At 51.6% G+C, this 25,555-nt stretch overlaps 2 protein-coding genes and 2 long non-coding RNA genes across 13 annotated transcripts in view, besides 5 other annotated features; 1 reads left to right on the plus strand and 3 right to left on the minus strand.

Moving 5' to 3' along the window:
- Positions 1–1,967, minus strand: part of PANTR1 (POU3F3 adjacent non-coding transcript 1) — a 47,759-nt gene extending 45,792 nt beyond the window's left edge. For 3 of the 4 annotated variants that reach the window (NR_037883.1, NR_131234.1, NR_131235.1), the window contains exon 1: positions 96–260. This is a non-coding gene — a long non-coding RNA (POU3F3 adjacent non-coding transcript 1). Of the gene's footprint in view, positions 1–95; positions 261–1,893 lie in introns of those variants that run through there. The other variant, NR_131233.1, reaches the window with a different exon arrangement.
- Positions 1,245–1,294: a silencer, noted in NCBI's record as "silent region_11835". NCBI's record gives its function as "represses an Ori minimal core promoter by ATAC-STARR-seq in GM12878 lymphoblastoid cells {active_cell/tissue: GM12878}" and the evidence as "EXISTENCE:reporter gene assay evidence [ECO:0000049][PMID:35858748]".
- Positions 1,968–2,059: 92 nt separating the features above from the next.
- The window catches only part of POU3F3 (POU class 3 homeobox 3), a 74,498-nt gene continuing 51,002 nt past the window's right edge, over positions 2,060–25,555 (plus strand). For 2 of the 6 annotated variants that reach the window (NR_197434.1, NR_197433.1), the window contains exons 1-2: positions 2,060–2,353; positions 2,557–2,616. Coding sequence is in view for 2 of the 6 variants with exons in the window: in NM_001433704.1 (NP_001420633.1) it covers positions 4,295–5,797 (1,503 nt within the window). In the remaining 4 variants the exon portion in view is untranslated. Of the gene's footprint in view, positions 2,354–2,556; positions 9,913–25,555 lie in introns of those variants that run through there. The other 4 variants (NR_197432.1, NR_197431.1, NM_001433704.1 and 1 more) reach the window with 3 other exon arrangements.
- Positions 2,503–3,092: an enhancer, noted in NCBI's record as "OCT4-NANOG-H3K4me1 hESC enhancer chr2:105470177-105470766 (GRCh37/hg19 assembly coordinates)". NCBI's record gives its function as "activates a minimal SCP1, AML or CMV promoter by ChIP-STARR-seq in naive and primed H9 embryonic stem cells {active_cell/tissue: H9 hESC(naive and primed)}" and the evidence as "EXISTENCE:reporter gene assay evidence [ECO:0000049][PMID:30033119]".
- On the minus strand, positions 12,025–15,985 carry LOC124908045 (uncharacterized). Its single transcript, XM_047446880.1, has 2 exons — positions 15,212–15,985; positions 12,025–14,399 (listed from the first exon to the last, which is right to left on the minus strand). The coding sequence occupies exon 2, from the start codon at positions 13,153–13,155 to the stop codon at positions 12,025–12,027; it is 1,131 nt and encodes a 376-aa protein (XP_047302836.1). The 5' UTR covers positions 13,156–14,399; positions 15,212–15,985.
- LINC01159 (long intergenic non-protein coding RNA 1159) lies at positions 14,281–21,379 on the minus strand. Of its 2 annotated transcripts, none has more exons than NR_110373.1 (2): positions 21,030–21,379; positions 14,281–17,176 (listed from the first exon to the last, which is right to left on the minus strand). It is a non-coding gene; the product is annotated as a long intergenic non-protein coding RNA 1159 (long non-coding RNA). The 2 variants fall into 2 exon arrangements; NR_110374.1 differs by lacking the exon at positions 14,281–17,176 and adding an exon at positions 18,008–18,734.
- Positions 16,335–16,629: a silencer, noted in NCBI's record as "tiled region #193; K562 Repressive non-DNase unmatched - State 22:ReprW". NCBI's record gives its function as "represses a minimal TATA promoter and a strong SV40 promoter by Sharpr-MPRA in K562 cells {active_cell/tissue: K562}" and the evidence as "EXISTENCE:reporter gene assay evidence [ECO:0000049][PMID:27701403]".
- Positions 21,060–21,785: an enhancer, noted in NCBI's record as "NANOG-H3K4me1 hESC enhancer chr2:105488734-105489459 (GRCh37/hg19 assembly coordinates)". NCBI's record gives its function as "activates a minimal SCP1, AML or CMV promoter by ChIP-STARR-seq in primed H9 embryonic stem cells {active_cell/tissue: H9 hESC(primed)}" and the evidence as "EXISTENCE:reporter gene assay evidence [ECO:0000049][PMID:30033119]".
- Positions 22,091–22,200: a silencer, noted in NCBI's record as "silent region_11836". NCBI's record gives its function as "represses an Ori minimal core promoter by ATAC-STARR-seq in GM12878 lymphoblastoid cells {active_cell/tissue: GM12878}" and the evidence as "EXISTENCE:reporter gene assay evidence [ECO:0000049][PMID:35858748]".

Here is a 25,555-nt window from a genome sequence, read left to right on the forward strand (position 1 = left end):
ATAAGCTCCCAAACCTACAAGAACATAAATAAATAAGCCAAAAAGGAGGGGAAAAAGAAGAGGAAAGCAGGGAAAGAAAATGAAAAAACACTTACCGAGCAAACTTCCAGGGTTAGGTTTTTAAATAAAAGGTGTTTTTTAATTTTTTTTCAAATAAGGTGACTGGGTTGGGGGTGGAGGGGAAGGCATATTCTCAACTCTCCAGCACCGATGCGTCCTTAGCCTTCCCTTCACACTGACGCCTCGAAGCCCAGCTCTCCACTAGTCTATTATTTTCACCAAAATATATGAAAATGTATGCAAATGAAAATCAGCACTAACTGTTCTCCCCTTGTTATATACTTTGGATTTTTTTTTTCCAGACAAAACAATCACACTCGCAAAGGGAGGGGGCGGATGGGGTGGGGCAGCGTGGAGGGGGGAGAGAGGCCGGGGAGCGATTCGAGAATTAAGTACGACGAAAGGGGGGGAGGAAGAAGGGGACAGACCTCGGAACAGAAGTGTGTTTCTGTTATCGAGGAGCACAACGTTTTGGGGGGCTTCCCATACGCGCACACACACCCTCTTGAAAAGAAAGAAAGTGGATCTGTTTGCAGAGGCGCTATCACGTTTCATCAGGCCACCTGAGACTGCTTTTGAAAGCGTGTACTGTGAAATTCATAGCAGTAATTTAGACAAAATCCTCACTGTATATTAATGAAAGGCGGCCCCATGGCTCTGTTCCTATCCTCCCCATTCAGTGTAAACAAAACCACGAGACTCTCTCGGTTTTTGAGCCGGATCCAAGCAAAATCGGCAGGAAAGGAAAACACGGGGTGCTGGCACCGACTATTCAAACGTCTGCACCTGGAGATCTCAGATTGATTCAATGAAATCTGTGTTCCATCTTTTATATATACATATACGCATACGTAAATATAAAAAGCAACCTTTGGGGGCCGCAGAGGAAAAAAATCCGTTCTGTTTGGGGTTTGGTTACCACCGCCTTTGGTATCTATACCTTGGCAATAATGGCTTTGCTAAAACCTACCTACGATGGTATCTCACCCGGCAAGCAGGAGCTGGACAAGAGCCTACATAAATTCTACGCGTCTAGTGTTAATCTTGAGATCACGCGGGGGCTGCCTGGCTGCGGCTGGGCAGGAGAACTCCTGCTTTCACTGAGTTCACTTAACTGCGCTCGGCAGAGGCACGATACAGCGGGAGAGAAGGGCAGGCCCGTTCACATTTTAATCGGAGCGCACCGGCGGCCGCTCCTCGGCTGCGTCCTGGGCTGCCGCTCGGGCTCGGGACTGCCAGATGCAGGCTCTGGCTGGGGGCGGCGGGCGCAAGCGGGCGCACCCGCAGCTAGGGGTGCGGGGTGCACGCACACGCACGCTCATTAAGAGCCATGTATTTATTGAATGTCCGAGTTGGGTTAGTTCATTGGAAATCCCCGAGGAGGGCTCAATTTGCCCTTGTTTTCGTTGCCACTTTCTCTTTTTTCTTGGTTCGCTGAGGTTCCTCTGTGCAGCGTTTCCGCTTGGCCGCGTCCCCCCACCCCACCCCACCCCACCCCCGCTTCTCTCGCCTACCGGGTGCACTCCCCCTCCCATCCCCCTTAACTCTTTCAGCTGGGTTAGAGCTGAGAAAGCATTTGTCGCCGCCAGCCCCATCCACCACGCAAATCCATCTGAGACAGAAAGGAAAGAAAAAAAAGCACCACCATGCCTAAGAATAGAGAGCGAGCAAACCCCCCCACCGCTAATCACACACACACACACACACACACACACACACACACACGAGGAAGCGGTGGAGCAGAGAAGGGCGCGGCTAGCCGATCCCGGTTCTTTCGCCCGGCTCCTGCTGCCACAGGGAATTCCTAAAGCCATTGGGGTCGAATACACTTACGATGAATCTATGGGGGAAGGTCGGACTGATTGCTTTTCAAATACATCGCACGGCTCCGCTGACCGGCACCCTCCAAACTCACAAGGGCACGCACGCTACTTGCACGAATCCCAGAGGAGGGAGGAGGGAGGAAGGGAGGGAGAGCGAAGGAGGGAGAGAGGGGGTGGAGGAGCCAGGGAGCGGCGGCAGCGAGCGGTCCGTCTCGCACGCGCGGGCACCGCGCTGGTCCTGGGCTGCAGGTTTCCCAGATGATGGCATCCGAGAACTTAAACAAAGGGGGCTGCCGCCGGCGCGCAACGGCTGCGGAAAGTTGCGGTGGCGGATTTCCAAGGAGCGTGGCCACGACCAGAGCTCTTGGCGATGCGAGCCCCCGCTTCCCACCCCCGCCGATCAGAGAAGGGGGCCGGCTGGTGAAGGGAAGAGGAAACTTTGAAACCACTGGGGACACATCTGTCTATAGGTATTAGCTTGAATGGTACATCCGTGCCGCGCGCTTTACAAATCTCTGGCGGGGCGGGGGTAAGGGGGTGAGCAACCCGACGCGTACTAGGTGGGGTGGGCAGGTTGCTATTTTTCATGTTTCCCCCTTCGTTTTCCTTCTGATTCTCTTCCCCCCTCTCGTCCCTCCCTCCCTTTTATCTCCCCTTTCTTCCCCCCGCCCAGACCTATTGCGAACGCCCAGAGCCGCCGAGGGAACGCCAACGTCTGGGCCGGACACTAAGAGTTAAGATGTGGCGGAGGGGGCGGCGGGGGAGGGGCGGGGAGGGGAAAGTGGTGAGGGGGAGGGAGGCTGGAGGACGACAGATTTCCAGCTTCTACGACGCTCTGCCTAAATTAAAAAGCAACCAATCGGAACGGCCGGAAGGGGGGCCTCGCGTCCTGAGCCAGTCATTCCGAGCCTGCCAATCACCCAGCGGGTAGCCAATCAGCGGGGGCCCTGGTGCTCGACTTCCTTGTATTTGGGAAAGTGTGGTGGTGGGTGCGCGCTCGCGGCGGAGGGTAAACATTCGACAGTCCCCGCTCTGAGAGGGAGGGACAGAGAGCGAACTGTCAGATCGGAGCGAGAGCGGGCGCCCGAGAGAGGGAGAGAGAGAGAGGGAGGGAGAGGAAAAGTGAGAGAGGGAAAGAGAGCGCGAACGAGGGCGCAGAGCGAGCTCCTGCTGCAACTCTGCTCCAGCACGGCCAGCGCCAGCGCCCGCCGTCGGTGCACTCTACGAGCCGTGCAGCGTGCCCACTGGAGTTGTTGTGTATCAAGGATCGATCCCCTATATGCACACACACACCTCCACCTCCACCAATGCACTCTTCTTCCTCCTCCTTCTCCAGACAACTGCTGGGAAAAAAATAAAACACCAACCCCAACCGTCAGCAACAAGGTAACAGAGCGATTCGACATCATTTTTTTTCCTGTTCAATTTTTTCCTTGTTATATTTGTTTCCTAATTTCTGCCCAAAAGGAAAGATGTCGCATCAGACTGTGACTGTTGCGAGGAGAATGAAAAAGGACTCTTGTTTCAGAGGCAACCAAGAGCTCCGGCAATAGCAACTTCAGAGAAATGCACCATCGCAAGAAGTTTTCCTAGGACAGAACAAAACTTGAAACGAGAGGACCAGAGGGGGAGAGCAGGAGCCAGCCTCCCCTCTCCGCACTCGCGAGCAGCCAGCAGCACCACGCCTTCAAGGACGAAAAAGTTTTACTACTCTAAGGGAAAACGAGTGAAATGTGTTCCTGAGGAGGAGAGGAGAGGAGAGGAGAGAGCGGACAAGAGAAGGAGCGGGCCGGTTGCTGGTCATCCGTAATTTGGCTAAGGAAGAAAGGAGCAGCTTCTTTCTTTGTTATCTCCCGTGAAACCTTCACTTAGCAGGTGGACGGAGCCCCGCGACCGGGCAGAGTCCGGGCTCGCCCGAGGACAGGAGGAGGAGCGGGAGCCCGCGCGTCCCGGGAGAGCGCCCCGAGTGCAGGTCCCCGCCCCGCCCGGCGAGCCCCGCTGGAGCGAGCCCAGCGCGCCGGGGCTGGGGGGCGGCCACGACCCCCCCTGAAGGGGGTGGCCACGGAGCGCACCCCGAGAAGCGAGCCCCCCTCCCCAGAGCGCTGCTCCTGCGGCTGCTGCTGCTGCTGGTGACCAAGGCCGGCCGGCGACCCCCGCGCCCTGCCGAGCGGCCTTGCAGCTGCAGCCGGGGGCCGCGGCGGCGGCGGCGGCGGCGGGGGCGGAGGCGGCGGCGGAGGAGGAGGCGGCGAAGGCGGCGGGGCCGGCGGGGGCCCGGGGCGGGGGCGGGGAAGGAGGGGGGGAGGAGGCGGGAGGCGGGGGGCGCGGCGGCGGCGGCGGCGGCGGCGGCCGCGGCTGCTGCTGCGGCGGCGGCGGCGGTGGTGGCGGCGGTGGGGTGGCGGGAGCGGAGCGGCATGGCCACGGCGGCTTCTAACCCCTACCTGCCGGGGAACAGCCTGCTCGCGGCCGGCTCTATTGTGCACTCGGACGCGGCAGGGGCTGGCGGCGGCGGGGGTGGCGGCGGCGGCGGCGGCGGGGGCGGCGCAGGGGGCGGGGGCGGCGGCATGCAGCCGGGCAGCGCCGCCGTGACCTCGGGCGCCTACCGGGGGGACCCGTCCTCTGTCAAGATGGTCCAGAGCGACTTCATGCAGGGGGCCATGGCCGCCAGCAACGGCGGCCATATGCTGAGCCACGCGCACCAGTGGGTCACAGCCCTGCCCCACGCCGCCGCCGCCGCCGCCGCTGCCGCCGCCGCCGCCGTGGAGGCGAGCTCGCCGTGGTCGGGCAGCGCCGTGGGCATGGCTGGCAGCCCCCAGCAGCCACCGCAGCCGCCGCCGCCACCGCCGCAGGGCCCCGACGTGAAGGGCGGCGCCGGGCGCGACGACCTGCACGCGGGCACAGCGCTGCACCACCGCGGGCCGCCGCACCTCGGACCCCCGCCGCCGCCCCCACACCAGGGCCACCCTGGGGGCTGGGGGGCGGCCGCCGCTGCCGCAGCCGCAGCCGCCGCCGCCGCCGCCGCCGCGCACCTCCCGTCCATGGCCGGGGGCCAGCAGCCGCCGCCGCAGAGTCTGCTCTACTCGCAGCCCGGAGGCTTCACGGTGAACGGCATGCTGAGCGCGCCACCGGGGCCCGGCGGCGGCGGCGGCGGCGCGGGCGGTGGAGCCCAGAGCTTGGTGCACCCGGGGCTGGTGCGCGGGGACACGCCAGAGCTGGCCGAGCACCACCACCACCACCACCACCACGCGCATCCTCACCCGCCGCACCCGCACCACGCGCAGGGACCCCCGCACCACGGCGGCGGCGGCGGCGGCGCGGGGCCTGGACTCAACAGCCACGACCCGCACTCGGACGAGGACACGCCGACGTCGGACGACCTGGAGCAGTTCGCCAAGCAGTTCAAGCAGCGGCGCATCAAGCTGGGCTTCACGCAGGCCGACGTGGGGTTGGCGCTGGGCACACTCTACGGCAACGTGTTCTCGCAGACCACCATCTGCCGCTTCGAGGCCCTGCAGCTGAGCTTCAAGAACATGTGCAAGCTCAAGCCGCTGCTGAACAAGTGGCTGGAGGAGGCGGACTCAAGCACCGGCAGCCCCACAAGCATCGACAAGATCGCGGCGCAGGGCCGCAAGCGCAAGAAGCGGACCTCTATCGAGGTGAGCGTCAAGGGCGCGCTGGAGAGCCACTTCCTCAAGTGCCCCAAGCCCTCCGCGCAGGAGATCACCAACCTGGCCGACAGCCTGCAGCTCGAGAAGGAGGTGGTGCGGGTCTGGTTCTGCAATCGGCGCCAAAAGGAGAAGCGCATGACGCCGCCCGGGATCCAACAGCAGACGCCCGACGACGTCTACTCGCAGGTGGGCACCGTGAGCGCCGACACGCCGCCGCCTCACCACGGGCTGCAGACGAGCGTTCAGTGAAGCCAGGGCGCAGAGCGAAGAGGGCCGCCGCCGCCGCCGCCTCCGCAGCCGCCGTCAGCACCGCCGCCGCCCCTGCCGCCGCCGCCGCCGCCGCCGCCGCCGCTGCCGCCGCCGCGCCGACCCTGCACCTGGGCCGCTCCGGGCTCCAGCCCAGGCCCATCCGCCGCCCTCCCCTCCACCCAGAGACAGGCATGCCCGCCCTTGGAGGAGAAAACGCGGGAGAAACGGACCAAGGAGGCATTTTTGCAGTCCAAGGAAGGAGGGGCCAAAAAATAAAAAGCATAATAAACACCCAGACTGTTTTGTATACATATATAACAAACAAAACCGGAAGAGAAAAAGGGGGCGATCATGAGATCTCGTTCATACTGTGGTGGTGTTTCGTTTTTGTTTTTGTTTTTAAAGAAGGGTGAAGATGCCTGACGCACGAAAACTGCACTCGTGAGGTTTTTCCACCCTGAGATGACCTACACGGCAGCGGTGGACAGCACCTGCCTCGTCTTCTCCTCTTTGAAAAAAAGAGAGAGAGAGAGTCCCCTTTCCTTTCACTTTCTCCCTCCAAAACAGCTGCCTAAAGAGATCCACGGAAACTTTATTTCCTGGGAGCGACCTGAGAGAAAACAGAGGCACCAGGTTCCATCAGGGGACGACACCGTGCTCTGGGACCCTGTTTTTCTTGGCCATATTAAAGTCATTTGGAAACAAATCAACTCTGAAATGGGAAGGAGGGGGGAAAAACAGTCTCCAAGAAAAAAATAATTATATTGACAGCTTCTGAAACTAACAGACTGAATAGCAAAGCCAAAAGAAAAGTATCCTCAAAGTAACCTTGGAAATAAAAGGATCGGGAAGGAGCAGAGGGAGAGGGGGAACGTCCGCTGAGGAGTGGCGAGAGGCCCCGGCCGAGTCGGGTCGCGGGCGGGCGGGCGAACTGGGAGCAGAGCGGGGGCCCAGCCAGCGAGGCCGCCGAGCCAGGCCCGGCCGCGTACCCAGGCTTTGACGGCTGCCATTCAGGGTGGACGATGCCTAAAGATTCCACCGCTAATATTTTTTTTATTAATATTTTTTATTTTTTATTTCTGGACTGACTCAGATAAAGGAATTTAGAAAGACTGAGCACCAGCCGCTGCACTTCTCTGGACTTCTCTCCTCAATCCGTTGCCAACTTTGATTGAATGGGTGCTGTGGATGTGATTATATAATACTGCCATTTCCAAGCAGTGTTTTTGGTAGGTTTTAATAAACAGACTTTTCAAAAGACGGCAATATAGAATTGTTAGATCCGTTGTTGATCTAAAAATATTTGCTTTATATTTTCATTAAATGACTTCTTTTAATATTTTATTCAGAATACTTATGAACTGCTGCAAAACGGTAATTTATTTTTCCCCAGATCTTGTATTACGTGTTTTTTTCAGACGAGCACAAATCAAAATGAAATGAAAATATGGACAGTTGTTAGGTAATAAGGGTATCTTTTGATGTGATCATTTGATTGTAATTTAATTTGAGTAGTGATTCCGTAAGAGCTGATCGAGAAAATAAATTTGTTAGAATGAAATAGTCTGTGTCTGATGCGTAAACACTGTGTGGGAAGAAAAGAGTTCTTTAAGAAATATTTTTTTACTAATGAAAATCCCTAAGTAATAGCGTTGAGGAAGTAGAGCCTGCTCCACTTAAGGTACTTTTGGAAATCTAGAGTAAAGCATAGGCATTGCTGAGACAGCTAGTATTTTAACATAGTAGTCACTCCTCGATAATCCATAAATTCACAATATTTTTCTCTCCCTTAATTTTAGTGGATGTCTTTAGTGTTTTCAGGTGAGATTGCCTAAATATTAACCCTTTTCTTGGCGATACCTGTGTTTCTTATCGAAAGATTGAACGATATCACCAGTAAAAATGAGCCAACTGGCTATTAATGGTTAATACAGCCCCTCCCCCCAAGTTCAGCTTCTTTTTTCTTCTCCTGTCCCCCTCCCAACATGTTCCTGTCTCTTTTCTCTTTTTCTCAAGACTATAGTTGTTAGGAGTCGCTTATAAGTCTTATAAAATATTTTGATATCAATTACTTCCCATCAATAACTATATGTAATTAAATTTAAATTATTAAGCTTTTTGGGTTTTTTCCCCCCGTAATAAAAGAATATAGTTCTAAAATCCTGATTATGGTCCACACTGCATACCATCTGTGCAATTACCAACTCAGACTTAAGGTTCTATATTTCTGTGTTTTTGTCTCTCCCCAGTATGATTCTATATCTTCTTTACTGGTGCTGGGGGTTTTAGGTCACCTTTTACATAAACCCTGCAGAGTGGTCACATTGATCAAGTTAATGTTTCAATATTTACAATGTGGGAAAATGAAAGTGTAATGCCTCAGGTTGTGAGTACTTAAGACGCTAAAGGCTCGGCTTAGTTGAGTCCCTATATATTGTACTTAAAAGTATTTAGCAGTGGTAGAGCAACGATTTTATAGACAAATTCCCCCCAATCTCACTTAGCTGTCACTCACTTTTTTTCCTCCTTCTCTCATCTTCACTCCCTCTCCCTGTGATATCAATGCAGGGGTTAAAAAACCCGGAAAACTGTGAGAGCAACAAGGCACAGTTATTTCTCCCAGACAGGCCCTGTGTCACTTTCATAAATCAAACCCAGCCAGATGGCCATGTATTGGGTTGCATTATTTTAAACACCAAATCGTACTAAAAATCACAATCATTTTGATTTGTGAAATCTGAAAAAGGCCACATATATTAAACAGAGAGAAGAAAAAAATGAAGACAAGAAACCACAATTTACTTTTCTTTGCCTTCTTGTTCCCTATTTCTCTTGCTGCTGTAATCCCTATGCCCAGCAAATTTACAACCTGGAGTGGGGGTGGGGGAGAAGTTCACCATTTTGGGGGTGTCTAGAGAGGCAAGCAAAGAAGTCCTCATTGGAAAGCTGAGGACTGGTCAGGTTGTTTTTATGTGGTGGATACTACTGGCACGTGAGATGGAATCTTGTTTTTCCTATGGGAATGGTGGTGGTTGATTAGACAAGTAATAGGTCTATTAAAAAAATTTCAGGAGGTATCTACTTAGTTGATTTAGCTGACAACAAAAGAGCTAACATTAGATTTCACACTGTTTTCTATTAAAAAGCAAACTTTGCTGATTACTTTGGAAGAATCCCTGATTTGGGGGTAGCAGAGTAACTTTTAATTGGAGAAGCTGGGAAAGCAAACCCATTTTGTTTCATTATTTGCATTTTATAAAGTGAGCTAATGCTTGCACTCCATTTTTTTTAATCAACCCTTTCAATGTAATTACAAAATGAAATTCATGGTTGAAAAACAAAAGAGGGCAGATATAACTGAGAGGTTTTGTGCTAAGGCTTATATTGTTACACATGTAAATAATGAAAATATTGTTATATATCACCAGATCTTTTTAATGAATTTGGTCATTGTGTTCCTTTGCAGTGCAAGTGTCTTGTGCTTCGTAAAGTGCCCATTTGTTTCCTCCATTTCAATCCAACCCCCCCTCCCCTTCCAACCCAAAGGAAAGTGACAAAGTTCTGTTCCATCAGCCTTGCTAATCCCAAGCTAGGCCCACTTACAGTTTACAGTCTCCTGTGGCTCTTGATCAGTTGTCCAAGCCTCCGTCGCTCCCACAACCATCTTCCCCTGGCAAGTCTGTGCGATAAATCATTCAAGGTGTATTGAAAATAGTCACTTTGCTATTGTTGCTCTGCCTTTTTTTTTTTTTTTTTTTTTTTTTTTTTAGTACTTAGCCAAGGACTACTTCTTTGTTCCGAAGAGAACTGTTCGTTATTGATCTTAGCGATTCCCTTTGCTGCCCTGTAGCCTCCAGTGTTTGCTCATGACCATGCTCATAATCTGTTTTGTATGAATGGTTTTGAACATTCAGAGAATAATTGGTTCTAATATTAAATGCAGTATATACTATTGATAGTTTTATCGATAAGTGTAATATTTTAAATAATTTTAACAATTAAATTTGTTTTTTAAATTATATATTTGTAAAGTATTTATCCTGTTGAAAGCAACAATATATTGTTGTATTTATTCGTTTATTTTTGTAATAAATGATCAACCTCTTCAAGCTAAATCAAAAATGATACTTTTATATATTTATACAAAAATGTACTTTAAGAGACGGGCATATTTGCACTAATTTGTATGTAAATTGAGTAAAATCCATTAATAACTTGTAGCTTTCAGTACTAAATTGAAGGAAGAAACATTCTCTCCACATGGAGTTTAGTTTGCCCAAGTTCCAGGGTAATTAATCAACTCTAAAATGGATGCAACAAGTATTGGCACTGGATGCAGACTTGAAATTAATTATTTAAAAGGTGGACCTGATTGTTTTTTTAAGGCAGAAAGACAGAAATTAAAGAATTTTCTTCTTTCATGAAATGCACGTGGCTGGCTGCAAGGATTAGAGCAGATGCTATGTTTCAGTGATAACCTAATACCTGACTGTGCTCAGACATCTACGTTGGGAAAGGGAGTTGTAATAAGAGTTGGGAGTTTGAGGTTATCAGTGACCCAGAAACAAGGTGATGTGAAAAAAGAAGAGTTGTGCTAGACTGAAGAAAAAAAATTAGATGATCTATAAAATGACTGTGAGTGGAGAAGCCCTTTGTCCTAGTCCAGCTACTAACAGCATAAGCAATCAGCACAGGTGTTGTTGTCGTTGTTGTTGCTGCTGCTGCTGTTGTTGTTGTTGAGTGACGCATGTGAGAAGCGTGGGGCAACCTCTCAGGCTCTCCAAGTTCTGTAGGTCGGTTGGTCATCTCAGCTCCTCAGGGCTGCTGGTCTGAGGGCCTGAAGTTCACCCATGTGACCTCCTGGGTGCAGGATCCTCACGGTAGGCTTGACGTTGATTTCAATAAGGAAAGCAGAAGCCTCTGCGTTTGCATCCTGAACTTTGCAGCCTAGGAAAGGAAATAGTGCGCAGGCTGGAGGAGCTGGGGGTGGGGGCAGCGGAGATAGCAGGAGGGGTACTTGTGTAATCAGATTCTTTGATTTTGTTAGCCTGGCTCATGGCCTATTAATTAGATTACTCTCTCTTTCATTCTTGATTTCACATCCGTGTTTGTTCCTGTATCCTAAAATGCGGGCGCGAGCTTGGCGAGCAGGAGCCTATGATGTCACTGCCGGCCAGAGGCGGCCGCCTGGCCTTCTGGCGGGCTGTGCGCTGCGTTCTTGATGAGTCCGGTCTTCCTCAAGGAAGAGTTGGCTCTGGAAGTGACCTCAGAGGGGTCTGGGAAGAGGGCAACAGTCATTCTCTTGGCGGCACGATGTGTGCGCTAGTGTGTGCGCGCGCGTGCCGTGTGCATGTGGGTGCGCGTGAGGGGAGGGGGAAGCGGAAATTCGCAGTCTGGACCCCGAAGCCCTAGGGGTACAGGCGACGGGGTCAGGTGTAAGGCCTGCCTCCGGTGAAAACCCCGGATCAGAAGAGGCGGAGGGGGAGGGGGACCCGAGGCAGCCGGGCGTCCAAAGCTCGCTTCTCTCCGGGAGGGAGGGCAGGGCTGGGCGCGGAGGTGGGGCGGTGGCGGTCGCGGTGGGGCGGCCGGGTCCCTGCTCGGCCCGGCACGGCCGGGCGGCCAGACTGTGGCAGCTGCTGTGGGTCCCACAAGTTGTTTTCCTCGTGGCGACCATTCAGCAAAACGCACGAACCTTTCTCAAAGATTTAAATTTCGCGGATGAATTACCATACACCCGTTGCTTAGCAACTAAATTCAAGCAGGGCTAAGAATATGCAAGCTTTTTGTATTCTCATTAATAAAAATGCCACTCTGACACAGCAACCCGACTTTGGATCACTGCAACTTCTGTAAAAGCCGTAGGAGAATACAAACCGATCCTGCCTTTCAATTACAGATCAAAATGGCTTGAAACGCGATGTTTTGTTCATCTATCTTCCTAAAAAGCGATGGAAAAAATAACGGCTTTCAAGAGCAATAGTAAATTCTTTTTTTTTTTAATGGAGTTGTCTATCGGGGTTACTGATAATTGTCAACTGAACCCTTTTGAAACACAGGTTTAAATAAACCTTTTCATAAACATGTCCACTCTCTCCCTCAGTCCCTCCTACCCTCTGATCCTGTTCTTCCCCAGCCTCATAATAACAATTATTATTATTATTATTATTATTATTATTATTATTATTATTATTATTCTGGAAACGCTCAGGCCTGTGGAGCCCTAGAGACTAAAGGGCAGTCAGCAGAGTAATGAGCAAACCTGGGGGCTGGAGAAAGTCCAAGGAATTGAGGAGCGAAGGAAAGGGAAACTTCTGAAAGTTTCCCTGGAAGGTTGAGGGAGTTGCTGGAGGCTGGAGTCGGCTCAGGTTCCAGAGGTTCTGGCGATAACTTTCTGCAGGGCTTGTGGAAGGAAAGGTAGAAATGCCTGTGGGTCTCTGCGCGACGTTTGCGGATTTTCCGTTCTGGGGGTGCAGCCTCCTCCCAGGAGAATTGAGTTGCCGCCCACGCTGCTGACGGTGGAGTTCAGAGGGGCTGAGTTCAAGGCCTGGCTGACCCGGGCTTTCTCTGAAATCCACCTCTCTGCTGCCCAGGGCCCTGGAGCCCTGGAGCGGAGGACAAAGTAAAGACGGATCTGGACCCGTGACCCCTTGGGTCTTCCCGGACTGTGGCCCAGCCCACAGACCAGGGCCCGAAATTGAGGTGGGGGGCGTACTCTGTTTGTCTTCCCGAAGGATGCGGCGCGTGGAAGGAGATGCGCTGACTTGTTCCAACCCATAACCTTTCGCTCGGGTCCCCATGTGCGGGCAGAAGAAGTCAGAGCGGAACAGCCTAGTGCACTGGCAGGGCTCATTGTCTGGGAAGACACCGAGGTCTAGGCAGCTGGGACTGCGGAGTGGAGGCAAGGCCGGAGGCGGCCGGCGGCTTTGTGGAAGTTTCGCGCCGCCAGGCCCTGCGCGCCGCACGGGGCGGTGGAGTTCTTGGGCAGCCCCCGGCGCTTGGCCCACGCCTCCGCTTCCCGCGTGTGGGAAACTCGAGCACCCTACAGGCACCAGGGTAAACTGCCTGTGCCTGGCCCGGTGAGGGTCGCTCCCCCAGGCCCCGTCTCCGCCCGAGGACTGCAGGCCTAGGCCTGCGGGGAGATCCTGAGACCGCGGTGTGCGGGCGCCGGCAGCAGGGCAAGGCAGGGACTGTGCCCAGTCCGCCCGCCAAGGAGATCGCACGCCGGCTTCGCTTCTGAAGCTGCAGACGGAGGCCGTGGTGAGCCTTAGAAAGATCCCGGGACAAAGGCGAAACCCCAGATTAATCCCCATAAGATTCCTAGGAGCCATTCCCCCTTCCCCCCGCACTTTGGCAAACATGAGAACTTTAGAGGTGCCGCGTCCCCAAGTCAGCCTGGACGCTTAAACCCCACAACTGACTCCATGTAACCCGATTTCTTTCTAGTGAGTACCAAGAAACAGTGGAACTGAAACCATAAGTGGAAATATTTGCTGTATTATAACATGCTCAGAGGCATTAGAGTTGGTTTTTTTTCCAGTAAAACATACATAATAAACAGGGAGCCATTTATTTACAAATACAAATGTCCTAGACAAGCCACATTCCATGTATGTAATTCATTAATGGAATTTGTTCATTTTTCTTCCTTTGGAAACAGAATTTTTGCTTTAAAAAATGGCTTGGTCTTGGGGAGGAGGTGGGTGGGAGAGTAGTTTACCTGATCTTTGAAAAGGGAGAAGTGTCCAGCCAATTCCTGTTTCGAAAGAATGCTAAACAATATAAAATAACCTTTTAAAATAGATGGAGAGGCTTTTGTTTTCTTTTTTACTCTTCAGAAAAGAAGTTTGTTAGTTGTAGTTGCTGTCACAGAATTGCCCAGTGGAAATGGACTGTTAATATCACCCTAGTTGACACGTGCGTGTGTGTCTGTGTGCGCGCACATGCGTGTGAACAAAATTGCATTTTAAATGTCTTAAGCTGGATGGGAATCTACCAAAATTGTATCTGTAAAATATACTCAATTGCCACAGTTTTAGAAATGTCTGTGGAAATGTCCCCACCGGCCTGCCTCCTTCCTGAGAGTTTATATCTAGGTAGAGTGTTAGGTGATGACTTCCTAGTCACCGGTATGCCAGGATTAGTTACCTGGCGAAACTGAGTCTGGTCTTTAATTCAAGAAGTTTTCTCTAAGTGAATCTCCTTTCCCTATAAGTTGATAGAGGGGTGTTGTTTGAGGGAGAGTTGTCCAGAGGAAGGTGGAATCAAGTGTGAATCATCTGTGTGACCCAGTGAGCAGTGAATAAATATGAAAAGTGCAGAATACACCTGAGGTATGTCTGGAGCTTTGTAAGGTCCTAACACTAGACATGATTACATAGGACAAAAAGAATGATCACTGCTGCCCATGTTTCTTTATTGTAGCTACAAAATAATGGAATGGACATTGAGATGGAAGCAAAAACTTTTTAAATTTTTTTTCTTTTAAAGAAAAGGGACAAGAGGTGTTCTGATGAGCTTCCTGGGAGACCACACATTAGCTCTGTCCTGCAGGACTGCCTCTCCGCATAAGGCAAGCCCATTAAGTCGGCTGGAACATTGCACACTGAAATAGAATAGATGTTCATTTCAAAGAATTTTCCTTGAGCCAGCAATAAAATAAAAGGTGACAAAACCCACCACGCTCATTGTACCCAGGTTTAGACAGGGAAACTTCCAGGTGTGAGGGGGGCTAGCCAGATTTGTTCCTTTCTGCCCCTATCAAGGTCTCAGAAGGAGGGTGAGTCTGTGTTTCACTTACATTTCCAAGGTTGAAAACTCTCCTGCAGAGTTAAAAATAAATTAAATAGGTCTAATCAGAAAGCACAGTATCACCCAGAAACTAACCAAATGAAATGTCTTAGTAGCTTGGTCTTGAGAATCTTTAGGTGACAATGGTGAAAAAGCCATCACAGAACAAAACAACATCTACAAACTATTTTAAATTACCATTTCATGGGGAGAAATCTTTCAAATTTCAAAATCGCTCAGGCAAGTCTACTGATTCTACTTTGTACGCCTTAAAGACTTATGCCAAGCACAGCTTTAAAAACGTTTCACTCCTGAAAGAAGGTCTTTAACTCTTCCAATAACTATTTAATAGTTGTCCTGAATGTTTTTAACAAGAGACGGGTATTAAGTGAGTGGCCTTGAGTCCCAAGCAGTCTGGGGGAATAGAAGTGGTGGACACTCAAAGGCACGGAGCAGCCTGCACCTGAAACGGGCTTTCTGCTTTTCGGTGAGGAGGGGCGGCCGAGGTCAGCAGTATTTACATATGTACCTGATCCCACGGGCTTTCCTCTATTTATCAAAGAGGAGGGCCTGCAGGTGAAGGGGTGGAAGTGAGGGGAGAGAAAGACCAAAAGAGAGATCAGTTACCTTTCCCCTTTGTTCCTGGGCCTTGAACTGGGGCTTCAAGGAGGGGAATAAAAGCCCCCAGGGAATGAAGCTTCCACCTCCATTTGCATCATCCTGACACCCCCGCCAGAAAACCAAGTGCTGGCTGAGTTGGGGCAAAATGGTAACTTGAGGAATCCCAGTGTGAGTGTGTTACATAACATACAGAATCCTCTGTGGGGAGAAGTGCACTCACTTGATTTTCTCCAAATGACTGTGTGCAGGCGGAAAGCCCTAGAAAGGAGGATTGAAGACCAGTTAAATAGGAAGACTGTGGGGAAATGGGGAAACGTGTAGCCATATATGACAGGGCACATGTAAGCTTGTGTGCAGGTAAAGTCATACCTGCACCATCTGTGTGCCAGAGCATCCTTCAGAGATCCTGCCTAGAGCTGCACGTTGGCTAAGCAGGAGTCCATACTTTACAATGGTGGTATGGTGGGGGCAGTGGTACCCAAGACTACTGGGACCTGGCTGCCCTGTGGGGTAGTAGGAGCCAGGTTAGTTCACAACTGTGTCATCCTCAACCAGCTCTTTTTTGTCAGAACCCTCAAATCCTTAGCCTGGGTGGGCAGATTACCCCCTCCTCTGTGCGCCCTGCTGTGCCCACCGCAGTCGCCCTGCGGTGGCAGGAGAGCTACTCATTCAGCAGTAGCAGCATTGCGCCGCTGCAGCATCCCGAGGTCACATTCAGAAAGCCCGTTCTTCCAGGACAGCATCGCCCCAATACTGCAGGCGGGGCGAACCGTGTTTATCTGCCCCAGGCACGGAGGGGAGATTGTAACCAAAGGAAAAGAATCTCGCAGAAGGGGATCTGGAAGAGGGCAGTTGATCCTGGGCAGATCCCCTGCGCCGGGCCCTCTCCGCTGGGGGCGAGCCCGGAGGGAACCGAGGGGCCCGGGAGGGGGAGCTGCTGAAGGCGCGCAGGCTGACAAAGCTATAACAAAGGCTCCCTACAAAACTAGTACTAAGGATCTTTAAAGGATCACACACCTTGCAGGCGTGTCCCCAGCTCCCGGGACGCAGAGCCCGCTGACTGTTCCCCCGGGCTCCGCAGACGTGCCCGGGTTGTCAGAGGTGTGGGGCTGGAAGTCCAGCGTCTCGGCCTCTGCCCCTGCGCTCCCACAGGCCTGAGCGGGTAGGGGTAGGTGCCCGCGCCTGGGCCCGCGGGGCTTTGGTCATGGCTGTTCCCCGGGAGGCTCAGTTAGGCAGCAGCCTTGCTGGGCAACAGGCCCCGCCCTTGGTTAATCCGGGAAGGTCGCGGGCTGCAATCTGGCCTGACGAGGCAGGCCCTGAAGTCTCCCCGCTGGGCGATCAGAAGAGCGTTCGAGAAGCCGGGAGCTGGTGGGGTTGGCAGGGCGTCTGAGTCACCCGAGCTGCAGAACGGACGCCCCCACGACGCGCTGTGGGCACTCACAGCGGCTAGTTGGGCATTTCCCAGCAGCCAAGGCTGCGCACTCCGCCCCCGCTGAGGTCCCCTTTGGTTCCCGAGGACCCAGCTCCTCCCGCCCCTCTACTCGGCGCCCCCTGCCACCATAGAACTCTGGGGTAACCCTGGGCCCCGACCTCCAGCTGGTGGGTAGGAATTGTTGGGAAAGGATTGGCGCCCCAGCACCGGGAGACTGGAAGAGTTGAAATCAACGCAGGAGAACAATTAGGAAAAAGTAAGAAAAAAATCACCCGGATGACCTCCAACTTCACCCCCACACCCCCATGGGGTTCTGAAGGCTCCGGCGCAGCTCCTACAGGCGTCTAGGAGTTGGTGGGAGAGGCGCTGCTCTGGCACCTCGCGGTCTCAGGAGTGGGGCTCAGCGCAGAGCGGGCGGCAGTGAGGAGCTCAGGGCCCGAGTTCAGGGCTAGGAGCAGGTGCAAGAACAGTGCAGCAGTGCAAGCATCAGGCAGCAGTGTTTCTCCTCCGCCGACAAAGTGGGTGGTGAGAACACAACTCTGGGAAAGGGGTAGGCGTGGATGTAAAATATAGTCAGTGACTGTTCCCCTACTTCTTGGTGTCCCCTTTCTTGAACTCAACTCAGGAGAAGCTCAGAAGCATCGCTGCAGACCTCCAACTTCCAGCTGTGGTCACCCACCGGCCAAGCCTCCCAGAGCCCAGGTCTGCCAAAGTTGGTCCAAGCCCTCAGGCCAGACCTCCAGACACCTTCTCTATCCACCCCGCACCCCTGCTGGACTGGGGTGGGCTAGGGCTTCCACTTCCCAAATGGCTGCTGCCTTGGGGCCTGCTCTGAAATTCCAGCTGGCGGGTCTGGTTTGGGCAGAGGAGGGGGAGGCAATGAGTGACACAAGCCCCCACCCCTGGTTACAAACAGTGCAAATGAGATGCATTTAGGCTGATCACGCTACTGTATTTTATGCAACTGAATGTGTCTATGTCTTGTCAACTCTTCTAGTCAGGAAGAATAGCAGAAAAAAATCTTCAAAGATTTTCTATGTGTGTGTGGTTTCCAACTATAATTCCATATAGGACAGTGGGGTGAGGGTGGGGCAGGGAGACTTGCTGACGTGAACAACATTACATAAACCCTCCAAAAATGCAATCTTAAGCCACAAAGAAAGAACTGAAAACAGGTGGGGATGGTGGTGGTATTACCTTAGACACCTAGGGGTTCAAAAACCTCAGTGGAATGAAATGGGCCTGGGGTATTCTCCCTTTGGTGCCTCCCTAGGGACAAGCCCTTTTGGCCTGGGTTATGGCTGCTAGCGAGAGACCTTGATGAAATTAGGTGGATTCCGGCTGGGAAAAGTTTAAAGCTGTAATATTTCTTTTAAAGAAACAAACTCATTTATATTTATTTTGGTACAGGGGACAGGTTCTGAACAATGTGTAGGCCCACCTAGGGGAATGTCAAGGGTGCCCTAGGAGGGGATAGGTTTTGTGACACAAAGGAGGCCCTGAAGGGGCGATGGAGTGTCTGTTCTTCTCTTTATGTCCATTTTCAAACAAGTTGTGAGTAGAGGAAGTCTGCCTCCAAATCTCACCAGACTCTCCCACCAGGTGTCCTGGGAACTGAGTGATGTGGGTCTCCTGTAAGGTAAGTGGAGGGGGTGCCAGGTTCTAGGAGACAAATAGCTTCTGGTATTGTGCCCCAGTCCTACTTGTGCAGTTCCTCATGCACTTTGGGAGAGCTCTGGAACTCCCTGTAGGACAGCTGGACAGGATCACAGAGTCAATAAACCCAGAGCCAGCACCACCACCAGCCCTTCAGGCTTCTTTGCCTCTGACACCAGAAAGGGGAACAACTGATTGTCTTTTCCCTGTTCAGGGACTCTGCCTCTCCACCGCCCCTCGCTCCCCCCCACCTCCCAGCCAGGCTTGGTGGTGGGCAGATCCCAAGCTGAACTTGTTTGCTGGGAGTCCTTGCTGGGAGTTATAAGATGAGCCTTGTGGCAGCCTCTTGCCCCCTCCTTCAAGGGGTGTCCAGGGTCAGCAGGGAATTTGCTTGAGGGGAGCCTCTGGGTCCTCTGAGTTCTCAGGGTGCCTCTTGGTGCCCTGGAACAGAAAAGAAATTGTTGTGGACACCTCAGGCTCTCCTCTTTAGAACTGCCTCTTGGGTCGACTGTCCACTTACAGAAAGTGACTAGCTTCACCTTCAGGACTCAGGGCCATCATACATAAGCTGCCCACAGTCTAGGCCAGGCCAAAGAGGCTTGTCCCTAGGGAGGCACCAAAGGGAGAATACCCCAGGCCCATTTCATTCCACTGAGGTTTTTGATCCCCTAGGTGTCTAAGGTAATACCACGCCATCCTGTTACATGTGCAGGATTCCTTCCCTGCTGTATTTCTTGGCACTGCCTGAGGTGTGAGCTGCCCCACTGCAGGGCAATTAACTCTGACAAATAGAAATGGGGAGGGGGGCTCATGGCTTCACATCAAGAGAAGAGGCCACCCAGTGCTCAAAAAGTATCAAAACTTTTCGCTGCTTAGCAGAGGAGTGTGCTTGTCACTAGCAGCTCAGGTTTCTGCCATGCAGCCTGGGCATTTCCATACCAGCCCGGTAAACACATCAGAACCAGATGCTGCTGCTGCTGCTGTAGGCTTCTACCTAGGAGGAAGGTGAAGGGGAAATATCCCAAGCCAGGGACTTGAAGTTCATTGTTCCAAACACTCCTTGTGTCCTGAAGAGCTAAACTATGGGACAATGAGCAGAGATGACCTACATCAAGATGAACTGCTGGCTCCTCCAAGTGCCCAGCTGCCTAGCCTGCCTGCTTCATGGTGACTAAAGAATCCCTACTAACTGCCCCCTCCTTTCTTCTCATGGACTGCAGCAGAAATTTATTCCCTTCCTCCCTCCAGGCCTCTTCCTCCTATCCCAGAATGAACAGGGACTTCCATTTGGGATAAGAAGGGGTGTCAATCAAGAGGCAAGGAGGGTTGGCAAATCATCTTCAGTAATAAATAAACCCAGCTACACAGTAGCCTTTACACCAATATACCGTTCTCAGTAACCTTTTCTTTTCAGTCACTTAGCTTATGACAAGCTAAAGGCATTTCAACCCATGAGCAAAAAGAAAATTCAAAACATAGGCCCAATTCCTTCTTTCTCTTTGCTGCCTGGGTTCCCCATTCTTCATTTCCTCACCTTCCAAACATCCCAATAGCCATTACCCCATCTGAAGAATTAAAACACTTGTTCCTTAAAATCGTCTAGGGTCTGCCGGATTATCAGAGTAATTGAAGACAGAAAGCACCCCTGCTCCATCCCAATTCTGCATCCAAACCAAGTACCATATATTGTGTAACCACCATCATCAGTTACACTTTGCGTAACTTGGCAGAGCCAGAAAGGAAGACTCCATTATTTACCAGCAGTAGCAATAAACTTTCTGAGAAAAATAAGTTCAACATTGACCATGAATACCTACTGGAGAACTCTTTGAAAACATTACCTGTTTTTTTTTAACCTCCTATTTTGGGGAAGGAGTGCGGTAAAAATATTAGGTAGCAGAATTTTAAAACAGCTTGATTACCTCATTTGGGTTTGGAGTCCTCAACTCCAGTCATTAGTAATAAAGTCATTAATAGTCATAATTGGTATTTAATTGCTTGATCTGATTGGTGCTTTATTCCTGATTCCATTTAGTTTCATGGAGAGGTACAGGTGGTGCAGTCAGTAAACGGAAGCCAGCCATTTGCAGGCAACTTTTCAAGCATAAGGGAAAGTACTTTTGTTATATTTGCAGACATGTGTCTCACACATTTCCCCCCTGCTTTTGGTAAACTATCTAAGAATAAACATTACAGATCTGGGCTTTAATTTCTCCAGATGGGATCATAAAGTACCTAGGAGGTGTGTGTGTATATATATGTGATATAGAATTGAGGTCACATGGCTGCTGTTCACACTGCAAGTCAAAAAGAAACTCAATGCTCAATGCGAACGCAGAAAGAACTCAACAACTGAACCGCCAGTGGAATCCAGTATCTGGGCAAGTTCACTTTATTCCTTCGCAGGAAGAGGGTCAGCGACGGCCAGCGAAAGTTTCCCCCGCTCTTTGAAGAGGGAGGTGACAAGACCTGCCAGACCTTCCCACGCGCGGGCCGCCTGGGTTCTGGGGCTTTCGTGACGTCTTCCCTCATCGCGCTCCCCACCCCCGAACACACACACACAGACACACACACACACACACTCTTCCTTGCTCGGGAAACTTGGCTTCAACCTGGCTCCCCCTTTCAAAACCCCCTGGAGAACTTCCCCTGCAGGGATGCCCTGCGCCCGCCGGCTGCGCCCTCCCTCTCCTCAGCCCTGCTCCTCCTGTCCGCTCCCCGGCGTTCTGGACTCACCCGGCACGGTCCTTCCATTCCACATACAGACAGGAAACCGGCCTCTTCGGGACAACATTTGAAACCACATTTTATCAACATCATCAAAGACCAGAGCACACACTTCGGGCTCTGAGCTCTGGAGCCCGCTTCTTGCAGAAAACCGGGTATGGGGGAAGGGCTGCAGGGGCGAGAAATCCTGCTTCCAACTGCGATTTCAGCTTTCTTATGGAAATGAACGCGACGGCCCGTTCGCCCCGAGCCTCCCTCCCGTTCCCAGCCCCTCTTCAGCTTACCCTTTCCTCCCGCTAACCCCCGCCCTCCCGGTCCCCGAGTTCCCGCGGCGGCCAGGCTGGTGGGGACGCACTCGCTCTGCGCCCGGGTCTCGGCGCGCGCGGAAACCCAGGCCGCGGGCTCCCCTCCGCCCCGCCGGCCCGCGTGCAGCATTAAATATTCATAGGGATGCTACTTTCTTAAAGGAGAACCTACCGCGCGGGAAAGTTCACAGCCAAGGAGAGGCACAAAAGAAGGTCTCCGCGCTGGTTCTCAAGGGCGAGGAGACGCATCCCTTCTTGACAGTGCGCCTCCAGACTGGCATTAAGGAGAGGACTAGGGAATGGGATCACCTATCGTCAAGTCACTTATTTTAGAGGGGTTTGGAGAAGAGGTGAACTTGGTGGTGGAGAGAAAGCGCGCTCCCTAATCACCTGTTAAACAGTTATTTTAAAATTAGCTGTCGCATCTGACGCCCTAGGGTCCCCAAGGGCCTTTTCATAAGGGAGTCTGTTTAACTTCACTGGCTTTGGGAGCGAGAAAGTTTGCCCTTTGTTTCTGGAAACACGCCCACGCAGTACGCTTAGGTAACCTTACACTGAACAATTTCCTTGGAGCGGCTAAAACCGCAACAACCAAACTTGCACCTGCGCCATTCTCTTAAAAACAGGGCAGCGGCTGTGAGCGCTGGGCCGGTAAGTAAGGGCAGAGAAAGGGGCTGTCGTGTGCGTCCCAGCTCTCCGACCCGCACGTCCGGGACCCCTTTCCGCCCGCGCACCGCGGTCACTTGCAGCCGGCGCTGGCTGCTTGAGCCCGCGGCCGGGTCGCCCGGCTTCTCTCCGGGAGAGTGGCCAGGGCCTAGGCGCTCGCTCAAGAGGGAGAGCGAAGGGAAAAGAAGAAAGTTCTCCGCCGGCCGCGCGCAGCTCCTCCCGTGAGCGCGCCCCAGCCCTGGGCCGGCCCGACCCGACCCGCGACGGGGCCACGCGTAGTGCCAGGCAACTCCTGTGCCCTGTGGCCAGCCCCGCGCGCGCACTCGCACTCACACACACTCATACTCACACCCCACGGTTCTTTTTGTTCCGGGCCAGGAGCACTTTCACAAGTGGTTAGAAAGTCTTGGGCGCCATCTAACGGGAGCAGCAAAAAGTTGACGCTGGGTGGAGGTTAGGCCCGACAGGAGCCCAGGATGGGCGGAGGAGATCCTCTCTCCCACTCTCTGCACTCCTGGGTCTTGACCCCCTGCTTCCCAATTACCACCACCAAAAACATACACACACACTCGAGAACTGAGGGGCCTCCGGAAACCTCCTTGCCCAGGGCCTGAGGGCAGCCCTGACTGCCCGCTCGGGGACCCTCCCCTGAGCCCCAGCCTTGCATGCCTTCGGGCGTTCCCTAAGGCGCACAGAAGAGGAAGGATCGTTTTGCGCCTGTCTTAATACGGACCCGGTGTCATGCAAGCTCTCGCTGGTTTTCCTTTGGCCTGTGATGGAAAGTCCGAAGAGGCCCGAGGCAGGCGCACCTGCTTCTGGAAAGGAACAGCCACGCAATTAAGGAGTCTGCAGCCAGAGGGGCTTTTAGAGGAGAGAGAGGGAGTTCAAAGAGGATAATGGCAAGGAAGCAATTGAGGACTTGGTCCAGCAGTGGCCCCAGGAGAGCTGAAACCTGCGGGTCTCCTGGGAGGAAGGGGTAGTGTCCTGAAGAACTGTCCTGGGGATTGGGAGCTGCTGTTTGGAGGACCATGACCAGTGGTGAAGCCCAGGAGAGACCTCTGGAGAGGACAAAGGAAGTTGGACACAGGACAAAGGCACCGGAGGGACTCACCCATCCAGAGGGACTGGAGCTTGAGGAGGCGCAGGCCTCCCCGCCAGGGTTCCCAGCCACCGTGAGAGCCAGTGGTCATGGGAGGTAATCGGGAACATGCACTCCTGTTGGATTAGGAGAACTGGGTGGAGTCTGAGAAGCTAGCAGAATGGGAGTGCCCCTGGCCAGATGTGAAAGCAGGAGAAGGAGGAGAGGTGCCAGTAAGGCCCAAACCTCTTCTCCTCTGACCCCACAGCTGCCATTGGCCCTGGAGTTGAACAGTGTGGGGGACCTATCTTTATGCCTTCAAGCAAAGGGTGAGGCATCCGGAAGTAGCTGGGCAGGTGGCTGATTGCAGGGGAAGATGATAGATCTCACCAGTCCAGGCTCAAAACTGTTAGAGGACTGAGGCCTTCTATCTGTCTTCCTGTGTTTATACGCAGATTAGAATACCTATTCTTTCTCCGTCACAAATGTTATGGAGGTAGAACACGATGTCAGATGTTCAAAACACTTTTTTATAGTAGTAAAATATGTATGACATATAATTTACCATTTTTACCCTTTTATGTGCATAGTTCAGGGCATTAAGTACATTTACATTGTTGTGCAACCATCACCATCATCCATCTCCAGAAGTTTTTTTATCTTACAGATCTGAAACTCGCTACTCATTAAGTAATAATTATAATTCCCATTTTCCCCTGCCCCCAGCCCTTGGCAACCACCATTCTACTTTCTGTCTCTAGGAATCTGACTACTCTAGGGACCCCATATTAGTGGAATCACACAATACTCATCTTTTTGTGACTGGCTTCTTTCACTTAACATCTTCCAGGTTCATCCATGTTGTAGCATGTAGCAGAATTTCCTTCCCTTTTAGGGCTGAATAAGACCCCATTGTGTGTATTTACTACATTTGGTTTACCCATTCATCTGTCCCCGGACACTTGAGTTACTTCCACCTTTTGGCCATTGTGAATGATGCTGCTGTGAATATGGGAGTGCAAATATCTCTTGAAGTTCTTGCTTTCCATTCTTTTCAGCGTGTACCCAGAAGTAGAATTGCTGAATCATAAGGTAATTTTCTTTTTTGTTTTTTGAGGAACTTCCATAGTTTCCCCCAGAAGCAGCACCATTTTTCATTACCATCAGCTATGCACAGGAGTTTTAATTTCTCCACATTCTCACCAACACACCAACACTTGTTATTTTTTGTTTCTTTAGTAACAGCCATCCCAGTTGGTGTGAAGTGATATCTCATTGTGGTTTTGAAACATTTTTTTTTTAAAGAGCAAATGTACAAATACAATGAAATAAGACTTGGCAAATTAGCTACAAGTTTTAGCAGAATGGAAATATCCCAATACTTATTTTAAATCTCTTTTAACTTTTGTTTTGTTGTGTTGTGTTTTTGTTTTGTTTTGTTTTGTTTTTGAGATGGAGTCTCGCTCTGTCGCCCAGGCTGGAGTGCAGTGGTGCAGTCTCGGCTCATTGCAACCTCTGTCTCCTGGGTTCAAGCAATTCTCCTGCCTCAGCCTTCCAAGTAGCAGGGACTACAGGTGTGCACCACCATGCCCAGCTAATTTTTTGTATTTTTAGTAGAGACAGGGTTTCACCATGTTGGCCAGGCTGGTCAGGAACTCCTGACCTCAGGTGATCCGCCCACCTCAGCCTCCCAAAGTGCTGGGATTACAGGCATGAGCCACCATGCCCAGCCTCTTTTAACTTTTGAATCTAGCTTTAGAAACAGGAGGAAGAGAAATGACAAAAATGGAGAGGTACACAGAACGAACACTATTGGATGATTATGTTTAAGCCCCTGGTTCTAATCAGAAGCTGGAAGTTCAAAGGGCTATATTATTAGTGAGTGCTCTTCCTTTCTTTATTTCTAGAAAGTAACCAGAGAGTCACCCTCTCTTAAGTGTAGAAGACAGAAAAAAAATGTTCCTTGTCTTCTTCCTGGATTCCTTGCTGTATTCAAATTGAAATGGAAAGAAATACTAGTGCCTTAGACATTGGCCATGTGGGTGATTGGTGGAAATCTTTGAAGTCCTTTTTCCTAGAAAAGGGCTGAGTAATAGCCACTGTGCAAGCAGGAAGGCTGTCATTCCATGCCTGGAATTCCCTGGTTTTGGAGCTCTCTCAGGGACAAAGTGCCCCTCTATCTCCTCACATGGCTGTATTTGCCATTACCCCACGCCAGGCTTACTTAGGATTTATGTGTAGTGTATCTACAAAATGTTCTATGATCCTTTTTTCCCCTTTTTTATATTAGTCATTCCTTTTTATAGCCTGGGGAGACAGGTTTGTGTTTTTATTTCCCACATTTTAAGTGAAAGTATCCAGAGTGGGCACAAAATAATAAATGTAAACGACTGTGGAGACGGGGTCGTGGCTGCGGCTCCCAGCTTGAGCTTTGACTTGGCGCATCGAACCACACTGTTTCTTTCATCTGACAGGATGGTTGGCAC

This window comes from Homo sapiens, chromosome 2 (genome assembly GCF_000001405.40).
Source record: "Homo sapiens chromosome 2, GRCh38.p14 Primary Assembly".
NCBI lineage: Eukaryota > Metazoa > Chordata > Mammalia > Primates > Hominidae > Homo > Homo sapiens.